Raw genomic sequence first — 22650 nt, forward strand, 5'->3', positions numbered from 1 at the left:
TTGCCTATTTTACTGCCATCCTAGCACAGAGAAAAAGTGTTCAGAAAGAAGAGTCAGTACTCGGTGGCTGAAGATACACTCCATCTCCTTCAGTTTTGCACAGAATTAGCCCTGCGTACAGGAATCTCTGTAAGCATGATCTCTGATTATGAAATACACTGATTCATTAAAAGAAGTTGATGTTTATGTAGTTATGTAACACTACTGGAAAATGTCCTAAATATTTTTAGACCTAAACTTCTCTTTTATTTATTAACTTACTTTATTATTAACCCTACGTCTTTTCTTCTTTATTCCCTAAATGTTTTCAGCTAATATTCTGTTCATTTCATTGTAGGTCCATGTCCCTTCCTACTTTGTTTACTCTAGGCTGTCCGTATCCATTTTCTGGTTTTGAAAAATCTCATTATAACTTATAAATACATGTGATTGTGTGATTTTATGCAAAATTTGGAACAACAAAATACTGCTCTAAAACATTCAGAAAAGTTTCTAAATCCATCAGTATTTTTCCTATGTGATAGGTAAAGTATTATATTCATTTTGCCAGTCTAGATAGAGTGGTTAAATAATTTAATCATGGTAAACACACATATACACACACACAAACTAGAATTTAAAAATTCCTTTCTTATCCTTTCATAATTTGTCATATTTTATAAGTCCCTATAAATTACAATTATCTTCATGTTATATTGGGTTGTTTTAATGTTAAGATTAAAAAACGCAGCAGAAACAGAAGCATTTTTTGCATGAACAATTCTGAAGTGAAAGTGTTGGTCCTTAATATTAGAATGTAATTCATTTATAAATTTTAAATATTCTGATTATCTCCTTAGCTTGGTTTAATCTACTCTTCCCTTCTATCCCCACACACAGCAAAATAATTTTCTGGTTTTAATGTAACTACATCTGTATTGAATTGCATCTTTTTAATTATATATCCATACTTATTCTAGCATCTGATTTATAAAATCTCCACATACTATTTTAGTCCCTTCTAGGATAATGCAGGAAATGTTAAATGTACTTCAAGAACACTTGTTTCAAATAGATGTAAATTAAACCTCTAAAATATAAACCCTAAAATGAAATGAATTATGTAAGTGGCTGTATTACCATTTGAGTTTTGTATTACCACTTGAGCTTTGAAAAATGTTTGCTAAAGTTAAAATATGTTAATTTGATATTGACACAGTTAAGTACTTATTAAAGAATTACTTCTATTATTGGTATATATTTTTGCATGTGCAAGGGTTTACTCTGAATGCTCATTATAAAAATTTTAAATGAGATATTACTTTTGTAAAAGGCTAATAGCTCATCAAACTGTGATATGATAATATATATGTATAAATTATATCTAATGCAGCAGACTGATTTTGTATATTCAGGTCAGTTATATTTTATTAGAAATCTCACAATTTCAACCATGTAATTAACTAATGTAACTAAATAAATAATTTAAAATAGTGAAAAAATAAAACAGATAAATAAATAAAATAAATAGTGATGGGGGTGGAGCCAAGATGGCCGAATAGGAACAGCTCCAGTCCACAGCTCCCAGCATGAGTGACGCAGAAGACGGGTGATTTCTGCATTTCCAACTGAGGTACTGGGTTCATCTCACTGGGGAGTGTTGGAAATTGGGTGCAGGACAGTGGGTGCAGCACACCGAGTGTGAGCTGAAGCAGGGTGAGGCATCGCCTCACCCGGGAAGTGCAAGGAGTCAGGGAATTCCCTTTCCTAGTAAAAGAAAGGGGTGACAGACAGCACCTGGAAAATCGTGTCACTTCCACCCTAATACTGCGCTTTTCCAATGATCTTAGCAAATGACACATCAGGAGATTATATCCCGCACCGGGCGTGGAGGGTCCTGCGCCCATGGAGCCTCGCTCATTGCTAGCACAGCAGTCTGAGATCAAACTGCAAGGTGGCAGTGAGGCTGGGGGAGGGGTGCCTGCCATTGCCGAGGCTTGAGTAGGTAAACAAAGCAGCCAGGAAGCTCAAACTGAGTGAAGCCCACCGCAGCTCAAGGAGGCCTGCCTGCCTCCGTAGACTCCACCTCTGGGGGCAGGGCATAGCCAAACAAAAGGCATCAGAATCCTCTGCAGACTTGAATGTCCCTGTCCAACAGCTCTGAAGAGAGTAGTGGTTCTCCCAGCACGCAGCTGGAGATCTGAGAATGGACAGACTGCCTCCTCAAGTGGGTCCCTGACCTCCAAGTAGCCTAACTGGGAGGCACCCCCCAGTAGGGGCAGACTGACACCTCACACAGCCAGGTACTCGTCTGAGACAAAACTTCCAGAGGAACGATCAGGCAGCAACATTTGCTGCCCACAAATATATGCTGTTCTGCAGCCTCCGCTGCTGATACCCAGGCAAACAGGGTCTGGAGTGGACCTCCAGCAAACTCCAACAGACCTGCAGCTGAGGGTCCTGACTGTTAGAAGGAAAACTAACAAACAGAAAGGACATCCACACCCAAACCCCATCTGTACGTCACCATCATCAAAGACCAAAGGTAGGTAAAACCACAAAGATGGGGAAAAAACAGAGCAGAAAAACTGGAAACTCTAGAAATCAGAACACCTCTCCTCCTCCAAAGGAACGCAGCTCCTCACCAGCAACGGAACAAAGCTGGATGGAGAATGACTTTGACAAGTTGAGAGAAGGCTTCAGACGATCAAACTACTCTGAGCTAAAGGAGGAAGTTCGAACCCATGGCAAAGAAGTTAAAAACCTTGAAAAAAAATTAGACGAATGGATAACTAGAATAACCAGTGCAGAGAAGTCCTTAAAGGACCTGATGGAGCTGAAAATCAAGGCACGAGAACTATGTGATGAATGCACAAGCCTCATTAGCCGATTTGATCAACTGGAAGAAAGGGTATCAGTGATGGAAGATCAAATGAATGAAATGAAGCAAGAAGAGAAGTTTAGAGAAAAAAGAATAAAAAGAAATGAACAAAGCCTCCAAGAAATATGGGACTATGTGAAAAGACCAAATCTACATCTGATTGGTGTACCTGAAAGTGATGGGGAGAATGGAACCAAGTTGGAAAACACTCTGCAGGATATTATCCAGGAGAACTTCCCCAATCTAGCAAAGCAGGCCAACATTCAAATTCAGGAGATACAGAGAATGCCACAAAGATACTCCTCGAGAAGAGCAACTCCAAGACACATAATTGTCAGATTCACCAAAATTGAAATGAAGGAAAAAATGTTAAGGGCAGCCAGAGAGAAAGGTCGGGTTACCCACAAAGGGAAGCCCATTAGACTAACAGCAGATCTCTCAGCAGAAACTCTACAAGCCAGAAGAGAGGCGGGGCCAATATTCAACATTCTTAAAGAAAAGAATTTTCAATCCAGAATTTCATATCCAGCCAAACTAAGCTTCATAAGTGAAGGAGAAATAAAATCCTTTACAGACAAGCAAATGCTGAGAGATTTTGTCACCACCAGGCCTGCCCTAAAAGAGCTCCTGAAGGAAGCACTAAACATGGAAAGGAACAACCAGTACCAGCCGCTGCAAAAACATGACAAATTGTAAAGACCATCGAGGCTAGGAAGAAACTGCATCAACTAACGAGCAAAATAACCAGCTAACATCATAATGACAGGATCAATTTCACACAAAACAATATTAACCTTAAATGTAAATGGACTAAATGTTCCAATTAAAAGACACAGACTGGCAAATTGGATCAAGAGTCAAGACCCATCAGTGTGCTGTATTCAGGAAACCCATCTCACATGCAGAGACACACATAGGCTCAAAATAAAGGGATGGAGGAAGATCTACCAAGCAAATGGAAAACAAAAGAAGGCAGGAGTTGCAATCCTAGTCTCTGATAAAACAAACTTTAAACCAACAAAGATCAAAAGAGACAAGGCCATTACATAATGGTAAAGGGATCAATTCAACAAGAAGAGCTAACTATCCTAAATATATATGCACCCAATACAGGAGCACCAAGATTCATAAAGCAAGTCCTTAGAGACCTAGAAAGAGACTTAGACTCCCCCACAATAATAATGGGAGATTTTAACACCCCACTGTCAACATTAGACAGATCAATGAGACAGAAAGTTAACAAGGATATCCAGGAATTGAACTCAGCTCTTCACCAAGCAGACCTAATAGACATCTACAGAACTCTCCACCCCAAATCAACAGAATATACATTCTTCTCAGTCAGCACCACACTGCACTTATTCCAAAATTGACCACATAGTTGGAAGTAAAGCACTCCTCAGCAAATGTACAAGAACAGAAATTATAACAAACTGCCTTTCAGACCACAGTGCAATCAAACTAGAACTCAGGATTAAGAAACTCACTCAAAACTGCTCAACTATATGGAAACTGAACAACCTGCTCCTGAATGACTACTGGGTACATAATGAAATGAAGGCAGAAATAAAGATGTTCTTTGAAACCAACGAGAACAAAGACACAACATACCAGAATCTCTGGGACACATTCAAAGCAGTGTGTAGAGGGAAATTTATAGCACTAAATGCCCACAAGAGAAAGCAAGAAAGATCTAAAATTGACACCCTAACATCACAATTAAAAGAACTAGAGAAGCAAGAGCAGACACATTCAAAAGCTAGCAGAAGGCAAGAAATAGATGAGAGCAGAACTGAAGGAAGTAGAGACACAAAAAACCCTTCAAAAAATCAATGAATCCAGGAGCTGGTTTTTTGAAAAGATCAACAAAATTGATAGACCCCTAGCAAGACTAATAAAGAAGAAAAGAGACAAGAATCAAATAGACGCAATAAAAAATGGTAAAGGAGATATCACCACTGATCCCACAGAAATACAAACCACCATCAGAGAATACTATAAACACCTCTATGCAAATAAACTATAAAATCTAGAAGAAATGGATAAATTCCTCAACACATACACCCTCCCAAGACTAAACCAGGAAGAAATTGAATCTCTGAATAGACCAATAACAGGCTCTGAAATTGGGGCAATAATGAATAGCTTACCAACCAAAAAAAGTCCAGGACCAGATGGATTCACAGCCGAATTCTACCAGAGGTACAAGGAGGAGCTGGTACCATTCCTTCTGAAACTATTCCAATCAATAGCAAAAGAGGGAATCCTCCCTAACTCATTTTATGAGGCCAGCATCATCCTGATACCAAAGCCTGGCAGAGACACAACAAAAAAAGAGAATTTTCGACCAATATCCCTGATGAACATCAATGCAAAAATCCTCAGTAAAATACTGGCAAACCATATCCAGCAGCACATCAAAAAGCATATCCACCATGATCAAGTGGGCTTCATCCCTGGGATGCAAGGCTGGTTCAACATATGCAAATCAATAAACATAATCCAGCATATAAACAGAACCAATGACAAAAACCATATGATTATCTCAATAGATGCAGAAAAGGCATTTGACAAAATTCAACAACCTTCATGCTAAAAACTCTCAATAAATTAGGTATTGATGGGACATATCTCAAAATAATAAGAGCTATCTATGACAAACCCACAGCCAATATCATGCTGAATGGGCAAAAACTGGAAGCATTCCCTTTGAAAACTGGCACAAGACAGGGATGCCCTCTCTCACCACTCCTATTCAACATAATGATGGAAGTTCTGGCCAGGGCAATCAGGCTGGAGAAGGAAATAAAGGGTATTCAATTAGGAAAAGAGCTCTTTAGTTTAATTAGATCCCATTTGTCAATTTTGTCTTTTGTTGCCATTGCTTTTGGTGTTTTGGACATGAAGTCCTTGCCCATGCCTATGTCCTGAATGGTAATGCCTAGGTTTTCTTCTAGGGTTTTTATGGTTTTAGGTCTAACGTTTAAGTCTTTAATCCATCTTGAATTGATTTTTGTATAAGGTGTAAGGAAGGGATCTAGTTGGGAAAAGAGGAAGTCAAATTGTCCGTGTTTGCAGATGACATGATTGTGTATCTAGAAAACCCCATTGTCTCAGCCCAAAATCTCCTTAAGCTGATAGGCAACTTCAGCAAAGTCTCAGGATACAAAATCAATGTGCAAAAATCACAAGCATTCTTATACACCAATAACAGACAGAGAGCCAAATCATAAGTGAACTCCCATTCACAATTGCTTCAAAGAGAATAAAATACCTAGGAATCCAACTTACAAGGGATGTGAAGGACCTCTTCAAGGAGAATTACAAACCACTGCTCAAGGAAATAAAAGAGGATACAAACAAATGGAAGAACATTCCATGCTCATGGGTAGGAAGAATCAATGTCATGAAAATGGCCATACTGCCCAAGGTAATCTATAGATTCAATGCCATCCCCATCAAGCTACCAATGACTTTCTTCACAGAATTGGAAAAAACTACTTTAAAGTTCATATGGAACCAAAAAAGAGCCCGCATCGCCAAGTCAATCCTAAGCCAAAAGAACAAAGCTGGAGGCATCACGCTACCTGACTTCAAACTATACTACAAGGCTACAGTAAACAAAACAGCATGGTACTGGTACTGAAATAGAGACATAGACTAATGGAACAGAAGAGAGCCCTCAGAAATAACGCCGCATGTCTACGACCATCTGATCTTTGACAAACCTGACAAAAACAAGAAATGGGGAAAGGATTCCCTATTTAATAAATGGTGCTGGGAAAACTGGCTAGCCATATGTAGAAAGCTGAAACTGGATCCCTTCCTTACACCTTATACAAAAATTAATTCAAGATGGATTAAAGACTTAAATGTTGGACCTGAAACCATAAAAACCCTAGAAGAAAACCTAGGCAATACAATTCAGGACATAGGCATGGGCAAGGACTTCATGTCTAAAACACCAAAAGCAATGACAACAAAAGGCAAAATTGACAAATGGGATCTAATTGAACTAAAGAGCTTCTGCACAGCAAAAGAAACTACCATCAGAGTGAACAGGCAACCTACAAAATGGGAGAAAATTTTTGCAATCTACTCATCTGACAAAGGGCTAATATCCAGAATCTACAAAGAACTCAAACAAATTTACAAGAAAAAAACAAACAACCCCATCAAAAAGTGGGCGAAGGATATGAACAGACACTTCTCAAAAGAAGACATTTATGCAGCCAAAAGACACGTGAAAAAATGCTCATCATCACTGGCCATCAGAGAAATGCAAATCAAAACCACAATGAGATACCATCTCACACCAGTTAGAATGGCAATCATTAAAAAGTCAGGAAACAACAGGTGCTGGAGAGGATGTAGAGAAATAGCAACACTTTTACACTGTTGGTGGGAGTGTAAACTAGTTCAACCATTGTGGAAGTCAGTGTGGCTATTCCTCAGGGATCTAGAACTAGAAATACCATTTGACCCAGCAATGCCATTACTGGGTACATACTGAAAGGATTATAAATCATGCTGCTATAAAGATACATGCACATGTATGTTTATTGCGGCACTATTCACAATAGCAAAGACTTGGAACCAAGCCAAATGTCCAACTATTATAGACTGGATTAAGAAAATATGGCACATATACACCATGGAATACTATGCAGCCATAAAAAAGGATGAGTTCATGTCCTTTGTAGGTACATGGATGAAGCTGGAAACCATCATTCTCAGCAAACTATCACAAGGACAAAAAACCAAACACCGCATGTTCTCACTTATAGGTGGGAATTGAACAATGAGAATACATGGACACAGGAAGGGGAACATCACACACACGGGGGCCTGTTATGGGGTCGGAGGAGGGGGGAGGGATAGCATTAGGAGATATACCTAATGTTAAATGACGAGTTAATGGGTGCAGCACACCAACATGGCACATGTATACACATGTAACTAACCTGCACGTTGTGCACATGTACCCTAAAACTTAAAGTATAATAAAAATAAATAAATAAATAGTGAAAAAATAAAACAGATTTTAGTTTAAATGAGTTATTAATTTGTTATTTAAAAGATTAATATATCATTCACCGAGGCCAAATGAGACACTTGATTGTAATTTATATAAGGACAAATTTATATGTAATATATATAAGGACAAATATATCTTAATGATATTTGTACACTGAATCTAAGCAGATAAAATAATATTATATTTTAATAAAATAATTTAAATAAACTTAATTTAAATAATTTAAACAGTGAGTAAAATAATTTAAAATAGTGAAAAATAAAATAATTTAAAATAGTGAAAAAATAAGACAGGTGTTAGTTTAAATGAGTTATTAATTTGTTATTTAAAAGATTAATTTTTCATTCACCAAGGCCAAATGAGGCACTTGTTATTTATATAAGGACAAATAAATATATCTTAATGATATTTGTACACTGAATCTAACTAGTGTGAAACCTAGCTACAAATAGAGTAGGTGTTTAATAAGTGTCTATTGAAATAAAATAACAAATAAGAAAGTTACATTTTAATGCCAAGACACATACCAGATAATATCAATGAAAACTGCAGAACTATTTTTTGTTTCATGTACTGTATTTTAATCTTAGGCACTTAATTCTAAACATATTTGCAGGCACTCTTATTTCTAAAGTCTGCGAAGTTTTATTCATTCTTTCAGTGATTATTTTTTAATCAACTTCCATGTCTCAAGCACTATAACAGATAAGGTTCCTGTTCTCATGAAACTTACATTCTAGTAAGTTTACATTGAAATGATTCAATGAGTGTAAAGCACTTAGGGTATAGTACCTGGTACATAGTAAGTATTCCACATTTATTAGCTATGATGATGATGATGGAAGACACCCATATATAGATGCTATTCGAAGCCATGAAACTAGATGAAATTATCTTGGGAGATAATGCAGCTAGAGAAAAGGGCTAGGGGCTGAGCTCCTTGTGCTTCCCAGCATTTAGAGTGAATCTAAGATTAAGAATAATCAACAGAACCTGAGAAGATAGCCAGAATATTGCCAAGAGAGAGAAAATAACTGGGTCACATGCTGCGTAATATTTGAATTCGATAAGAACAGAGAATTAAATTTTGAAATTGCCAATATAGACCATCATTCATCACCTTGAAAAGAGCTGTTTCTGTGGAGGAGTGAAAAAGAAAGCTCAATTGGAATGGATAGAAAAGAGACTGAGGAAAAGGCAAATCATAAAAGGAGAGTCATGAATGGCCAAGAAGTATAAGGTGAGGTGCTCAGCTCCAAAAGGAAGCAGAGAACTGCAAGTTAAACCAGAGACACTACTTTGTATTCTTCATATTGGCAAAAATTAGAAAAATAGCTGTTTCTAATGAATATTAGCTGCTTCTAATAAATGTTATAAAGCAGGAGCCTTTATTCAGTGAAGTAGGAATGTAAGCTAGTGCCTCCATTTTGGGAACCATTTGGCAGTATTTATGTGTATTCCTATGATCTCATACTTAATACCTAATACCGCCCTGGAGACATACTGCAGACAAATTGTCCTATAAGTACACAACAAGATGGGTAAAAAACTTTCATTGTAGGATTATTTATGGTGACAAGGTTTCAGGTAACCTAGGTTCTATCACTATGGTACTGGATAAGTAAAATGTGGTATGTGCACATGATGAAATATTATGTATCAGTCAGAGCAGAGTGAATCATATCTACATGTAGCTACATGGATAGGTCTCAAAAAACATAATATTGACTAAAAAGAATAAGAGTCAAAATGAGACTTGTAGTTTAACTTGATTTGTGTAATTTTTAAAACACCTTCAAAACGAATAATTTTTTCACATGTTAAGATGCAGGTTAGAAGGTATACATTAAATTCACAAGCATAAATGCTCTCTAGAATGGATCATTCCCAAATGAAAATGAACATCTCAGTTTCACCCATATTAAAAACGAAACAAAACTGACAACGCTCCTTGTTACCATATTCACCTCCAGCTGCAATTCAGTTTTTCTGCTCCCTATTCATGGAATCAAATGGGGTGTCTTTAATTGCTGTTTCAAACATTATCTCCTCCCCACTACCCTCCAAAAAGCTTTCTTGCCCTTTTTTGTTTGTTTTCTTTTGTACCTTGGGCACATAGAACAGAGTTGATTAGACTCTGTAGTACAAAACATGCTATCATCCTTGACCCGTGCCAGCAACGCCCCCCTCTAATTAATATACCTATAAATTTTTCTAACAGAAAAATAGAATAATACAACATGTATGTGTTCCCATCATCCATAGTTAACAAGTTTTAAAATTTTGCCATAGTTGCACTATAGATTGTTAAAGAAGAAAAAGACAATTAACACTTCCATTTTTACTCCTCCCCATACAAAGATAGCTACTGGTGACACCAGGTCCAAGTGCAAAAACAGCATATCCTCAAGGTGAGAAGTGATGAGATTCAGGGCAGAAGTGGAAGAGTAGCCTTCATGCCACCACCAATGATAATAGCTAACATGTGCGTGTTACTCCCAATGTGCCTGCAACTATTCCCCTTCTTTACATACATTAAGTAATTTAATTATCAGAACAGTCCTGTATGATAGTGACTATTTTACAGATAATGAAACTGGAGTTAACAGTTAACAGGAAGCAGAGCCAGGATTTGAAATTAGGCAGTCTGGCACTCTAAAGAGCTCCTGCATGACACCTTTAAACTATCCTGTCACAGACAAGTGTTGAGTTCTTGTTTTTCCTTGTCTTCAATTACCTATACAATAAAAAAGTACAGCCTTCTATTTTACATTAAAAAAAAAATTTCCCTGATCTCTGGGTGCCAGTTCATCTGCCTGCTTGTTCTTCCATTATGCTACTTTAACCTGGAATCATTTTCCTCCACATAGCACTTTGAACCAGATTTTTAAATGTTTTGCGTTTCCTTTATCCAGTAAGTTTTAAGCTTGAAATAACTTTCCACTATATAGGTTTTAGTTACTGTTTTCTCAAACATTATACTAACTTAATGTGCCCTCCAAGTGACTATGAAGTTTTATATCAGCCTATAAAATAGCTAATTATGAATACCTTTTATATTTGTAGTTTCTAGAAACCTGTAGGGATAGCAGGATTCTCTTAAATGACTGATTATCCCAAATCTGATGCCTGTGTAATGCTATCCAGCAAACAGCTGGCTTCATATGAAGAGAGGTTAAGAACTCTTTCTGTCTTGTTCATTTAAAATCATTTACTTCTTATTTAATATCTGCAAAGAACACAGTCACATCATAGTAGAATTTACTGTTGTAAATTTTTTATTGTTTCCATGGGTTCTGCCTTACATCTGCATGGTGTTTAAAGCCAATGCTTCCTTTATTTTTGTAGGCATTTAGGGCCTTGTTCCTCATAATCCAATGTCATGCTGAGTGACAGAAAATTAAAGTCGAATTTCTTTAACTATAGAGAAGGACTGGGCAGAACAATAATACACTTATTTAACAACTCCTTGCCTCAGAAACTGAAGGAGCTGTTTTGTGCAGGTGGCTTAATCTCTCTGCAGCTTATCCTAATGGTGTTTCTTTATTTATTAAGGACAGGAACTGGGCACTCTGCTTCTAAAAACAAAAGGACCAGACTAGTCTACCAGAACCTATAGTGAACTAGTAGGATGTTTATATTTCATTCAGAAGAGCAAAGCTTTGAATTAGCTGCCATTTTTACTGTCTATTATTCTACTAATTCTCAGGTAATTGAGAATTAACTGCATAAAATTACATATCAAGTACCAGTTCTTTGAAGTTCATTTTAAGATAAGTCTTCCTTTTAATTTATAGCTGCATTTAGAAGTAATAACATAAAATTTATCATATGGGCTCAGACCTATGCTTCATCTAGTTTAGGATCATATCCTGACAAAAGCACCAGGGGCCATTTAATAGTAAGGTGTGATTGTTCTCTCTGATGAAATCTTCTCATGGAATCAGTCACAGTAACACCATAATTTTATTAATATTTTTATTAACTATAATATATATTTAAGCTTTCTAAAACTAAAATCTAAACCACCTTTTGGAGTTAGAAATTCTACCAGTTTACTGCATATTTCATTGTTAAGTAATTCTTTTCATTTGTCTTAAGTATACCTCTTTAAGGATTCTGGGAATATGGTAACAGATTTGTAGCCACACTTACCACACTCTTATGGACAATATCATATTCTCTTGCAGCTTTTATATCTCAAGAGTTTATATTTCAAGTGTGAGAGATATAAGAACTTTAGGATCAGGCAGACCTGAGTTTGAATTATAGGATCTAACTAGCTGAGTGACCTTGATAAGTTAATTACTCTAATCCTTAGAGTTTTCTTGGTAGTTGTGACTATACATGAAATTATATGAAATCAATAAAACCTAACAAGTATGGGTCATCTACTCTACACCATTACCTAATAAGTTTTTTCAGACCCGGGAAGGCTTATTGCATGGAATACAGATGGAGCCAGTGGACCTCACAGTAAACAAGTGGAGTTCACCCGTTTGGCTGGGAATTCTTCCTCTCTGAAGTTCCCATCCTTGAACTGGAGAGCCTCTCCAGAGCTGAGCATGCCTTCTTCCAGCCCATGATGAAAAATACTCACTCTCTTCTCTGGGCATGCAGCCCTTTGGCGTGCCACTCTCCATGCCACCGGTGATGGCAGCTGCCTTCTCCTGGCACAGAATACAGAGCCTAGGGATCCTGCCTGGTGGTGGTATGGTCTGTCCCCTTTATGTAAATGAGTTACCTCCAGCAGCCTCTCATTGTTTCCTTGTTGGAGGAAATGGAGAATTCAAATAGTAGCATGCAAGTACCTGTAATTGAATCATATAAGAAGCCTATAGCATAGGAAAAAAAATTGAACCTGTGATCAAACAACAGAGGACAGATTATTATCCTGAAGAAATGTCACCCCCCCTTAATGAACTCAGTGCCCACCCCTTGCAACAAGCATTGTTGCAAGAGAATCTCCCTTAGGTCATAGTGCAGCCTGGGAAGAGACCTTTACTGATGGAATTGGTGGATAACTCAAAGGAAGCAGAGGATACACAGATGTGATTATGACATATGCAACAAAGTATACACTAAAAGTTTCCACGTGAAATCATACAGAAGAACACACACAGGAGATAAACCCTACAAATGTACATGGGATGGATGCATATGGAAGTTTGCTCTGTCTGATAAATAAGACATTTCTGAAAACATACTGGAGTCAAATCTTTTTGGTGCCTGGACTGTAACCACAGCTTCTGTTCTGACCATCTTGCCTTCTACAGGAAACGCCACATGCTAGTCTGAATGCCTTTGTCTCCCACCTCAACATGACTCCCTACTCACCTGGCTCTTTCTCTATACTCCCACCATTATCTATCACACTTTTTACATGTACATTTTAATTTTGATTCAGCTGGTCTGATCCTCTGAATTTATATCATCCAAAACTTCCATATGGTCAGTAGCAGGTACTCTCTAATCCTCCCTCTCCTTACCATGGGTGACCTAAAAAATGAGAACTTTTTTTAGAGATGCTAAGCAAACTATTCTTAGAGATAGATAAAGTTAATGTAATAAGAACAAGAAAACATGTAAACTAAGAAACAAAAATTAATGTATGTAAAAGCACTGGATAAACAAAGGTTTATACAAATGTCTGGTAAATGCTAATTAAAACATTTGTTTAGAGTGAATTTATTTTCTAATTTAAGGAACTAACTCTTTGTAAAATAAAGTTAAGAATGCCGATTTATATAGTTTTATGTATTTATATGGATGCATAAAGATTTTAAAGTTTACTATTAAAATATGTCACTGAAACACCTGAACAGATGGAACATAGAAATTTTACAACTCCAGTGTTTTGAACATTTTTTTTCTGGAGACACCAACCAGTCTATCAGTTTGTTTTCCATTATAACTTATTCTCAAAAAGCGTACCAGCAAGGGCTGTCACTGGGGCTGGGGTTCAGATCACAGTTTCCACACACAGGACAATGGAAGGACTTAGATAATTCAAGCCATTTGTTCTTTCTGCTATGGTTTCAGTTCTGCATTCACACACTTGTTAGACAGGGCTGCTTGAATAATAATCCTCAAATACTGCTTACATTCTCCAGTTAAAGACTCTATGGAAGCCAGTTTCCTGCTTGTATTCTCTTGGTTTTGAAAGTCACTAAAATGCCTTTTAGATGCTACCCAGAGTTAACACGTTCTTTACTATGAGCCTGGAACATGATTTGTCTGTTTTAGTTCTAGCAGGAAGACTCAGCCATGCTTCACAGTTCCAGACCACAAAAGTGAGCTCAGGCAATCATGTGTTTTAGAAACAAGACACGTGATCAGAAATTCTTATGTTTGTCAGCTACATACATTTCCTTTGAAAACATTAGTAAAATTTAGCCTATTAGCTGTTTGAAAATCAGCATGGTGGTGGGGGCAGAAAGAGGCCAACAAATTGGGCCTGTCAAAACCCATTAAGTCTGTGGGGTGTTAGGATAGGGAGGGCTGAGTAGGCAATGATAAGTTGCATATGGACATACAGGCAAAGTGGAATAAGCAGCTGCCTTATTCTTCAGGAGCTGACTAGCAACAAAAGAATATGGTTTACTCTATGAAAATATCTGGACACTTAAAATGTACTAATCAGATGAAATACATTGTGTCATTTCAGATTTACAATGTCTAGTAGAGGCACTTGGATTAAAACTTCAGAAGGCGGTGACAGAGATGGACAACTATAAAGAAATGCTTATGTAAGATGGAGAATATTAAACAACTTATAACAGTGCTCTGTAGATGTGTTACAAAATGGCAAGAATTAGGAAGAAATGACAAGAATTATAAAGACCCTGGTGTGTTCTCTGTGATTCTTTTGGCAGTGATTTACTGGTGTGGGTAATAGTTTACTGCTGCTTTTCTTGCCCACTTTACTGGCCTAGATTATATATTGAAGAACCTGTAAATATTTTTAAATACATGGAGGATTTCTTTCTCTCAATAAGAAACTTACTTATCCATATATTAAAGCTTTCCCTGATAGTTCAAATGCAGTAACTTAATGTGAAATAGTCTTTGAACTTTTTTCTTATCTTTGTTTCTTTATTATCTCTCCACAAGAAACAATATTGAACTTGTATCTCAAAATTACTAATTTTAGCTTCAAAGAGAGAGTTGAGTAGCTTTGAAATGCTGAAGTACTTATGCTTGATATAAGTGAGAAAGAAATATTGGAAAACACGTGATAAGAAAATGATGTAAAATCAAGAACACTATTTCTTTTAAAAATTAATTTTCAGCCTGGGCAACACGGAGAAACTTTGTCTCCACAAAAAAATACAAAAATTATCCATGCGTGTTGGCACACTCCTGTAGTCCCAGCTACTCGGGAGGCTGAACTGGGAAGATCACCTAAGCCTAGAAAGTTGAAGCTACAGTGAACCATGATCATGCCACTACACTCCAGCCTGGGCGACAGAGTGAGACCCTGTCTCAAAATGAATAAATAAGTAAAAATTACTTTTATTTCAGAAATTTCAAAAATTATAGCATAAACATAGTATATCTATAATTATAATACTAAAATAGTATGTATATAATCTTTGAAAAGTAAGTAGATTCTTTTACTTTATGATATATATGATTTTCAGTTCCTATATTTTAGGAGGATGAACCTCATAAAAACATAAATATTTAGAATGCTTAGCAACCAAATGTTTGTGTTGACCATGAACTACTCCTAAAATCAATGTGTTTAATAAAATACTGAACACAAGAAGGAACAAATACCAAAAATACCCTATCAAATTAATGTATACTTGGATTATTTGTAACAAAATAGTTTGTTTCTGAAAAGGAAAATAAAATATTCATACTTTATAACACTGTGGTTAATAGTACAGTAAGTATAGTAGTTCAGGTGTCTGTGTAGATGGCTGGGGTTGAAGGAATTGGTGGACGGGGGTCCTTAGAAGACCCCCTAGGCCCAGGAAGTAACTTTTTGGGAGATTGTTTTAAATCATGAAAAGAAACAAGGTGATGGTTGCTAGAAAAAAAAAAATCGTTGTTGCTGTCCCTCTAATAACATCAAGGAGGGGTTTGGCCATGTGGATATCTCTTGTGGAAAGCAGTCTAGTCAGGCCCCAGCTACTGTGTGATGATTGCTTCTTGGAGTGAAGAGGGCACAGTCTAGGCATAGGGAGGTGGTGTTAGCACACAACTAAGCTAAGAGGGAATTTGTGGGCATACCAAGACTTAGCATATATAGTGGAGTCTTAGAAAGTTAGGAAAGAAGCTTAACATAGAAATGAGCATAGTGAAGAAAAGGAATAAACTTACTGGTAGTGACATGAATTGATATTTTACAGAATAAGTTGGCACAGAATTCTGTGTATATTCATGTTCTGCATAATGACATTTTGGTCAGTGACAGACCATGTATACAAAGATGGTCCTATAAGATTATAATACCGTATATTTACTGTACCTTTTCTATGGTCAGATATGTTTAGATATGCAAATACTTACCATTGTGTTACAATTACCTACACTATTCAATACATTAGCATTCTGTATAGGTTTGTAGCCTAGGAACAATAGGCTATATCGTATAGCCTACGTGTGTAGTAGGTTATTCCATCTTGGTTTGTGTACACTCAAGGATGTTCACACAATGACAAAATTGCGTAATGACACATTTCTTGGAATGTACCCCTGTTGTAAAGCAATGAATGACTGTGCATGGAGCCTGCCCATTTAATATTAACACATGCTTTGTGGTATTTTTGTTTATTATAATTTTAACATAACTTGTGCTGAGAAATGGTGAGAGTCAGGGTAGACTGGAGATGCAGGGAGAAATACACCACTAAAGTCCATCAAACTAATTATCTGTAGGAAGTTACTGTATAATTGCAGAAATGCTGATGATGTTTTATCAGTTTATAAAACTAATGTTTCCTACACGTACAAGACCTTCTTAACAATTAAAAAATGGAGATGATGCCCATTTTTAGAAATGCGAATTAGGAAAGATAGAGCCACTTAAATGGCTCCAAGTGCTGGAGACCTTTCTCTATGCTACCTGTCTCTAGCTCTTCCATCTATACTCTATCTACTCTCCTTTACTGCTAGGATTAAGTTGAGGAGTATGGGCATTTAGGATCAAAGCCTGGGACTGCTTAAAGCCTCAGGTTGCTCAGAGGTCAGGAGGTGAGGCTAGAGTCAAATGTGTGGCTTCGCCATTTTTGTAATGATAAGTTTGAAGTCAAAACAGTTCATTCAAAAAATTTGATATATTAATACAATTTGTTAGTAAACTCAAGATTTCCTGTGCACACTCAAACCTCTTTGGACTTCCAGAAATTGGAATATGCTATGAAATCAGGTTTCTTCCATTTTTAATCCTTATTCTTTGTGGGGGCTGGGAATAGGAATGTTTGTCACCTGTAAGTTAATTCTTTGTGTTGTTTAAAGATTTTTAAATATTTGGATATAAGTTTTGTGAATTTTGACAATAAAAGGAAGAAGCAATTTATAAATGGGTGAAACTGGGGTTCTTTTTCCAAGATTTTTAAGAAAATATTTTCCAAGGTTTAAAAGAACGTTGTTATGTATTTAAAAATAGAGATTTTATCAGAATGCTTTGGGCTGCAAGTAACAGAGGTAGGATAATGTCAGTTTTAGTTGATAAGAGTCTCAGCAATATCCCCAAGGATCTTGATGTTCTTTCTGTCTCCATCCTGCTGCCCTCAGCACTGGCTTCAACCCAAAGCTAAGTCAGGTCCCTATAATCGCAAGATGGCTGCAGTTCCTCCACTCTAGAGGCCTCATTTGGATATGGTGCCTGCAGGCAGGAAGGGATGGTTTTCTAGTGTCTTTTTAGAAGTGAGAAAAAAGAATTATCAGATGCCACCAAACAGCATTCTCCTTATATTTCCTTGTCTAGAACCCTTTACATATCCTCTCCTAAGTGAACCACTGGCAAGGGGAACAGGGCTGCTACAATTACCTTAGACCAAGCAAGATTTATCCTTAGAACAAATAATAATTGGAACTCTGATGGGCAGGAAATAAGCTGTAGTGAATGTTCAGAAGGTAACCAGTAGCGTTTGCTAAAGAGGTAGAGCTTTAATGATGCTCTGAGAGCTTGATGAAATTTTCTACAAATTTTATTTTTAAGTACTATAATATCTAGATTAATTAAGGGAACACCTCCCTGAAATAATGAAAAATATGAAGACTATAAAATCTAGTTCTATTGCTTTTAAACATATATGGATATAAAATATACTTTTATTACTTTCATATATATATGAATATGTGTGTGTGTGTGTGTAGATAGATAGATAGATAGATAGATAGATAGATAGATAGATAGATAGATAGATGGAAGAGCTAGAGACAGGTAGCATAGAGAAAGGTCTCCAGCACCTGAAGCCACTTAAGTGGCTCTATCCTTCCTAATTCACATTTCTAAAAATGGGCATTATGCCCATTTTTTAATTTTTAAGAAGGTCTTGTATGTATAGGAAACATCAGTTTTGTAAACTGATAAAACATCATCAGCATTTCTGCAATTATACAGTAACTTCCAGGATAAAGATAGATAAATAAGCCTTAAAAGAAAGACTGTCATTTATGGTGAGAAATTTCTAGGAATTCCTGAAAGGTAATACATAGAAAGGATAGTAGAAAGGGTAAACTCTACTGAGGAATAACCCAGGTGAAGAGCAATTGAGTGGTGATGCTGGTGGGCATGGGATAGACAGGACCTTCCTCGGAATTAATTAAAACACAGAGAAGGGAGTGAGACCTGGTGAATCATTGAAATAGTGGTTGTCACACTCCAATCTACATAAGAATCATGGGTAGCTTGCTAAAATTCTATATTACAGTATGGCCTCTCCCACAGACTCAGCCTCAGGACCAGATTTCTGGGCTCCTTTTCCACAGATAATCTGGTTCTATATTTATGTCTGGGGTGGCTCCAAGCAATCACATTTTTAATGCACTCCCCACATGATACTGATTCAGGTGGTCCAGTGAAACCCACTCTGAGGAATTACATATGGACCATTTAAGCCAGCTGGCCCCTCATCAATACCCTACAATCAGCCCTGTGTGAAGCAGCATTTGCAGAAGCATCTATACTCAGACTAACACAATGAGTATGTGGACTAGAGTCAAACAGCCTGGCAGCTACTGAATCCCAGGAGAGACCAGGGTCCCCACAGCCCAAGACAAACCTCCAGTGCCCCCACCAGGTAGCATACCCTGCCCCTTCATTACACCTCTAAAAACAATCAGGGCAAAAATAAACAGCAAAGCAGACAAGCAAACAGAGGATCTTAAGTCTGAGGATTCAACACAACCAAAGATTACTAGGTATGTGAAGAAACACCTCCCCCCAAGTCCCCCCAAAAAGTGGCTATGAATTCACACAGAAAATCCTTAACACCCTAGAAAATTGTTAAATAGCAAACAGATATTAGAATAAGTATAACTGATATCCCCCAAAGTATGTCCAGGATTGTAACCATAAAAGAACAGACGGTTATGGCAGGCTATTAGGAATTCGGGAGATTAGAAATATCAGAAAAATGATCCCATTCATGCTAAAAATGAATACCAATGCACATACACATGCATATGGATTTAAATACATTGAATAAATGATAGGATTACAAGTTACCTCTAGAAATGAAAGTGTGGGCTGTGTGGAAATTCTTATCTCACTCTATTATATATTGCTTGAATGCTTTACACTTTGGATATATTTATTTTCATGTATGTGATAAGAACAAAATTTACTTAAAATGATTTATAATCTGTCACTAAGAATATGTCTAAGTGATTATGTAAAATATGTTTTCTGGCCGGGCGCAGTGCCTCATGCCTGTAATCTCAACACTTTGGGAGGCTGAGGCGGGTGGATCACCTGAGGTCAGGAGTTCGAGACCAGCCTGACCAATATGGTGAAACCTCGCCTTTACTAAAAATACAAAAATTAGCCAGGCATGGTGGCAGGTGCCTGTGGTCCCAGTTACTCGGGAGGCTGAGACAGGAGAATTGCTTGAACCCGGGAGGCAGAGGTTGCAGTGAGCCAAGATTGCGACACTGCACTCCAGCCTGGGTGACAGAGCGAGACTCGGTCTCAAAAAAAATTTTAAAAAAATGTTTTCTAATTTAAGAACCTCTGTAATGTACTTACACTTTAATTCCTTTTTTTTTCTAAGCAAGCTAACACAGGACTTACATTTTAATTTCATTAACAGTCACCTACTGCTCATTTAACTGATAATTTGAACAATAGTAAACTTTTGACCATCACAAAGTACTAATTTTTAAAGCTCTTACTTGGCCTTTCAACAGCATCTGACAGTTGACCAATCTGTTCTTGGGACAGTCTCTATTATTGAGATATAAATATCAGCGTTCTCCTGATTTTCCTCTCACCTTCCTGTTCATTCATGAAAATTTCTTCCTGGCAAGCAGAAGGTGGCCTGGTGGCATTCCAGTGTCAGTGTACAGATCCATTTTTCACATGGTCCTAACTTGAACAGGCTATGTTTATTTCATTTATTTATTCAATACAAAATGTTTACTGAGAGCCAGGACTATTGTGTGCAGGCACTAGATATTGGAGTAACAAGATTGGCACATTTCCATAGAGTTACTTTTCAGACAATGCTAAGTGCCGCAAAAATATAAAATAGGCATAATAGAATGTGAGTAGTGGAGAGGGGTGGTATACTTTTGACAGAGTGGTCAGAATGGCATCCCTGAGTAGATGATCTTTAAGTTAAGATATGAATAACAGAAAGGAGCTAGCCATGATTACATCTGGGAGGAAGGAGATCAAGACAAGACCCTACGTTTCTTGGAAATCAGTTTTACAAGTTCAAAAAACATGAAGGCCAGTTGTAGTGACAGAATAACGGCTCCCCAAAGAGTTTCATGTCCTAATCCCTGGAATCTGTATGTTCCCTTACATGGCAAAAGGGACTTTACAAATGCGATTAAGAATTTTGAGGCCAGGCGTAGTGGCTCATACCTGTAATCCCAGCATTTTGGGAGACTGAGGCGAGGCAGGTGGATCCCTTTAGGCCAGGAGTATGACTTGGCCACCATGGTGAAACCCTGTCTCTATTAAAAAATACAAAAATTAGCTGGGTGTAATGGCACACACCTGTAATTCCAGCTACTCAGGAGGCTGAGGCACAAGAATCTCTTGAAACCTGGAGGCAGGGAGGCAGAGGCAGTAGTGAGGCAAGATCGCACCACTGCACTCCAGCCTGGGCAGCAAAGCGAGACTCTGTGTCAAAAAAAAAAAAAAAAAAAGAATTTTGAAATGGGGAAATTATCCTGGATTATGTGGGCAGGCCTAATATAATCACGAGGATCCTTATAAGAGGAAGCAAGAGGGTCAAAGTCACAAAAGCAGATGTGAGTATGAAAACAGAGATTGCAGTGATGTGATTCGATGATGGAGGAAGGGGCCACAGGACAAGAAATACAGGTGGGCTCTAGAAGCTAGAACAGGTAAGGAAATGAATTCTCCCCTGGAGCCTTCAGAAGGAACACGACCTGGTGACACCTTGATTTTAGGACTTCTGACCTCCAGAACTGTGAAATAATAAATTTGTATTGCTTTAAAACACTAAGCTTGTGGTCATTTGTTACAGCAGCAATAAGAAATTAAATTGACCAGTGTTTCCTGAAGAGTTTCTGAGGAGTTTGGATTTATAAGGAGAGCAATGGGAAGCTTGGGGAGAATTCTAAGAGAGTAATCTAATCTGTTTTTTAAAAGGTCACTGTGGTTGCTCCTTCAAGAATGGACTGGAGTAGGAGTAAAAGCAATATCAGGGAGTCTGGGTGGAAGGCTGTGCATTCATGCAAGTGAGAAGTAATTATGGTTTAGCCTAAGACTGTAGCATGGAGATGGAGAGAAATATATGTCAGAGGTCAATCTGATTTACTGATAGAGAAAATGTGACTGGGGAGCAAGAAGACTGGAAGTGAAACGAAAGAATAAAGACGGGCTTGATCCTTTTTGCATCAGGGTAGACAGTTGAGAGGCAGCAAAGTGCAGTGACTGAGAGCTCAGACTCCAGATCCAGACTGCTGGGGTTCAAATCCCAGCACTACAACTTAGTAGTTACGTCAACTTGGGCAAGTTTCTTTTCTCTTTCTCTTTGGTCTCAGTTCCCTAAACCATAAAATGGGAATAAGGGCTTCTTTGAGGAGTGCACAAGATACATAATGTGTTACCTTTTACTATCATCATTGTGTTTGTTTCATTTACTGAAGTGGGAAATTCTGTGAAAGAAGCAGATAAGGGAGTGGAGGAATCAAAAACAATGCTTTTGATTTGTTAGAGTTGAGATGCCTTTGAGACTGCACAGTGGAAATATCAAGGAGTTAGTTTAAGAATGGCTGTTCCATATAAGCGAATGGAGTGGCATATAGCATCACCTTTCAAAGTGGGGGGAAATAGCTAGCTATTGTATTGTATTGTATTGTATTGTATTGTATTGTATTGTATTGTATTGTATTGTATTGTATTGTATTGGCAGGAGCAGCAGGGACCTTTCTGAAGGTTTACTTGTAACAATTGAAGAGAAAGGATTACCACTATTTGCTAAGAGTAAAAGAAGGAATGCAATGCTTAAAGAGATGTAGACATTCTTTCTATTCCATCCAATTTATCCGTCCTAATGAAGGTGAAGATAACAATTGGGTAACAAAGGTAGACCAT

The 22650-nt window shown here is 37.4% G+C and overlaps 1 protein-coding gene and 1 pseudogene across 1 annotated transcript in view, besides 2 other annotated features; both read left to right on the forward strand.

Annotated features, from left to right (window-relative positions):
- Positions 1-22650, forward strand: part of LEKR1 (leucine, glutamate and lysine rich 1) — a 219777-nt gene that overhangs the window by 138276 nt on the left and 58851 nt on the right. The window contains exon 7 of the mRNA NM_001004316.3: positions 14566-14647. Coding sequence (NP_001004316.2) covers positions 14566-14647 — 82 coding nt within the window. The remainder of the gene's footprint in view (positions 1-14565; positions 14648-22650) is intronic.
- Positions 1795-1952: a silencer, noted in NCBI's record as "fragment chr3:156684212-156684369 (GRCh37/hg19 assembly coordinates)". NCBI's record gives its function as "represses an EF-1alpha promoter that drives an FKBP-Casp9 reporter gene in an ReSE screen in K562 erythroleukemia cells {active_cell/tissue: K562}" and the evidence as "EXISTENCE:reporter gene assay evidence [ECO:0000049][PMID:32094911]".
- Positions 12245-13500, forward strand: KLF3P2 (KLF3 pseudogene 2; annotated as a pseudogene).
- Positions 14017-14146: an enhancer, noted in NCBI's record as "active region_20734". NCBI's record gives its function as "activates an Ori minimal core promoter by ATAC-STARR-seq in GM12878 lymphoblastoid cells {active_cell/tissue: GM12878}" and the evidence as "EXISTENCE:reporter gene assay evidence [ECO:0000049][PMID:35858748]".

Source organism: Homo sapiens, chromosome 3 (genome assembly GCF_000001405.40).
Source record: "Homo sapiens chromosome 3, GRCh38.p14 Primary Assembly".
NCBI classification, from domain to species: domain Eukaryota; kingdom Metazoa; phylum Chordata; class Mammalia; order Primates; family Hominidae; genus Homo; species Homo sapiens.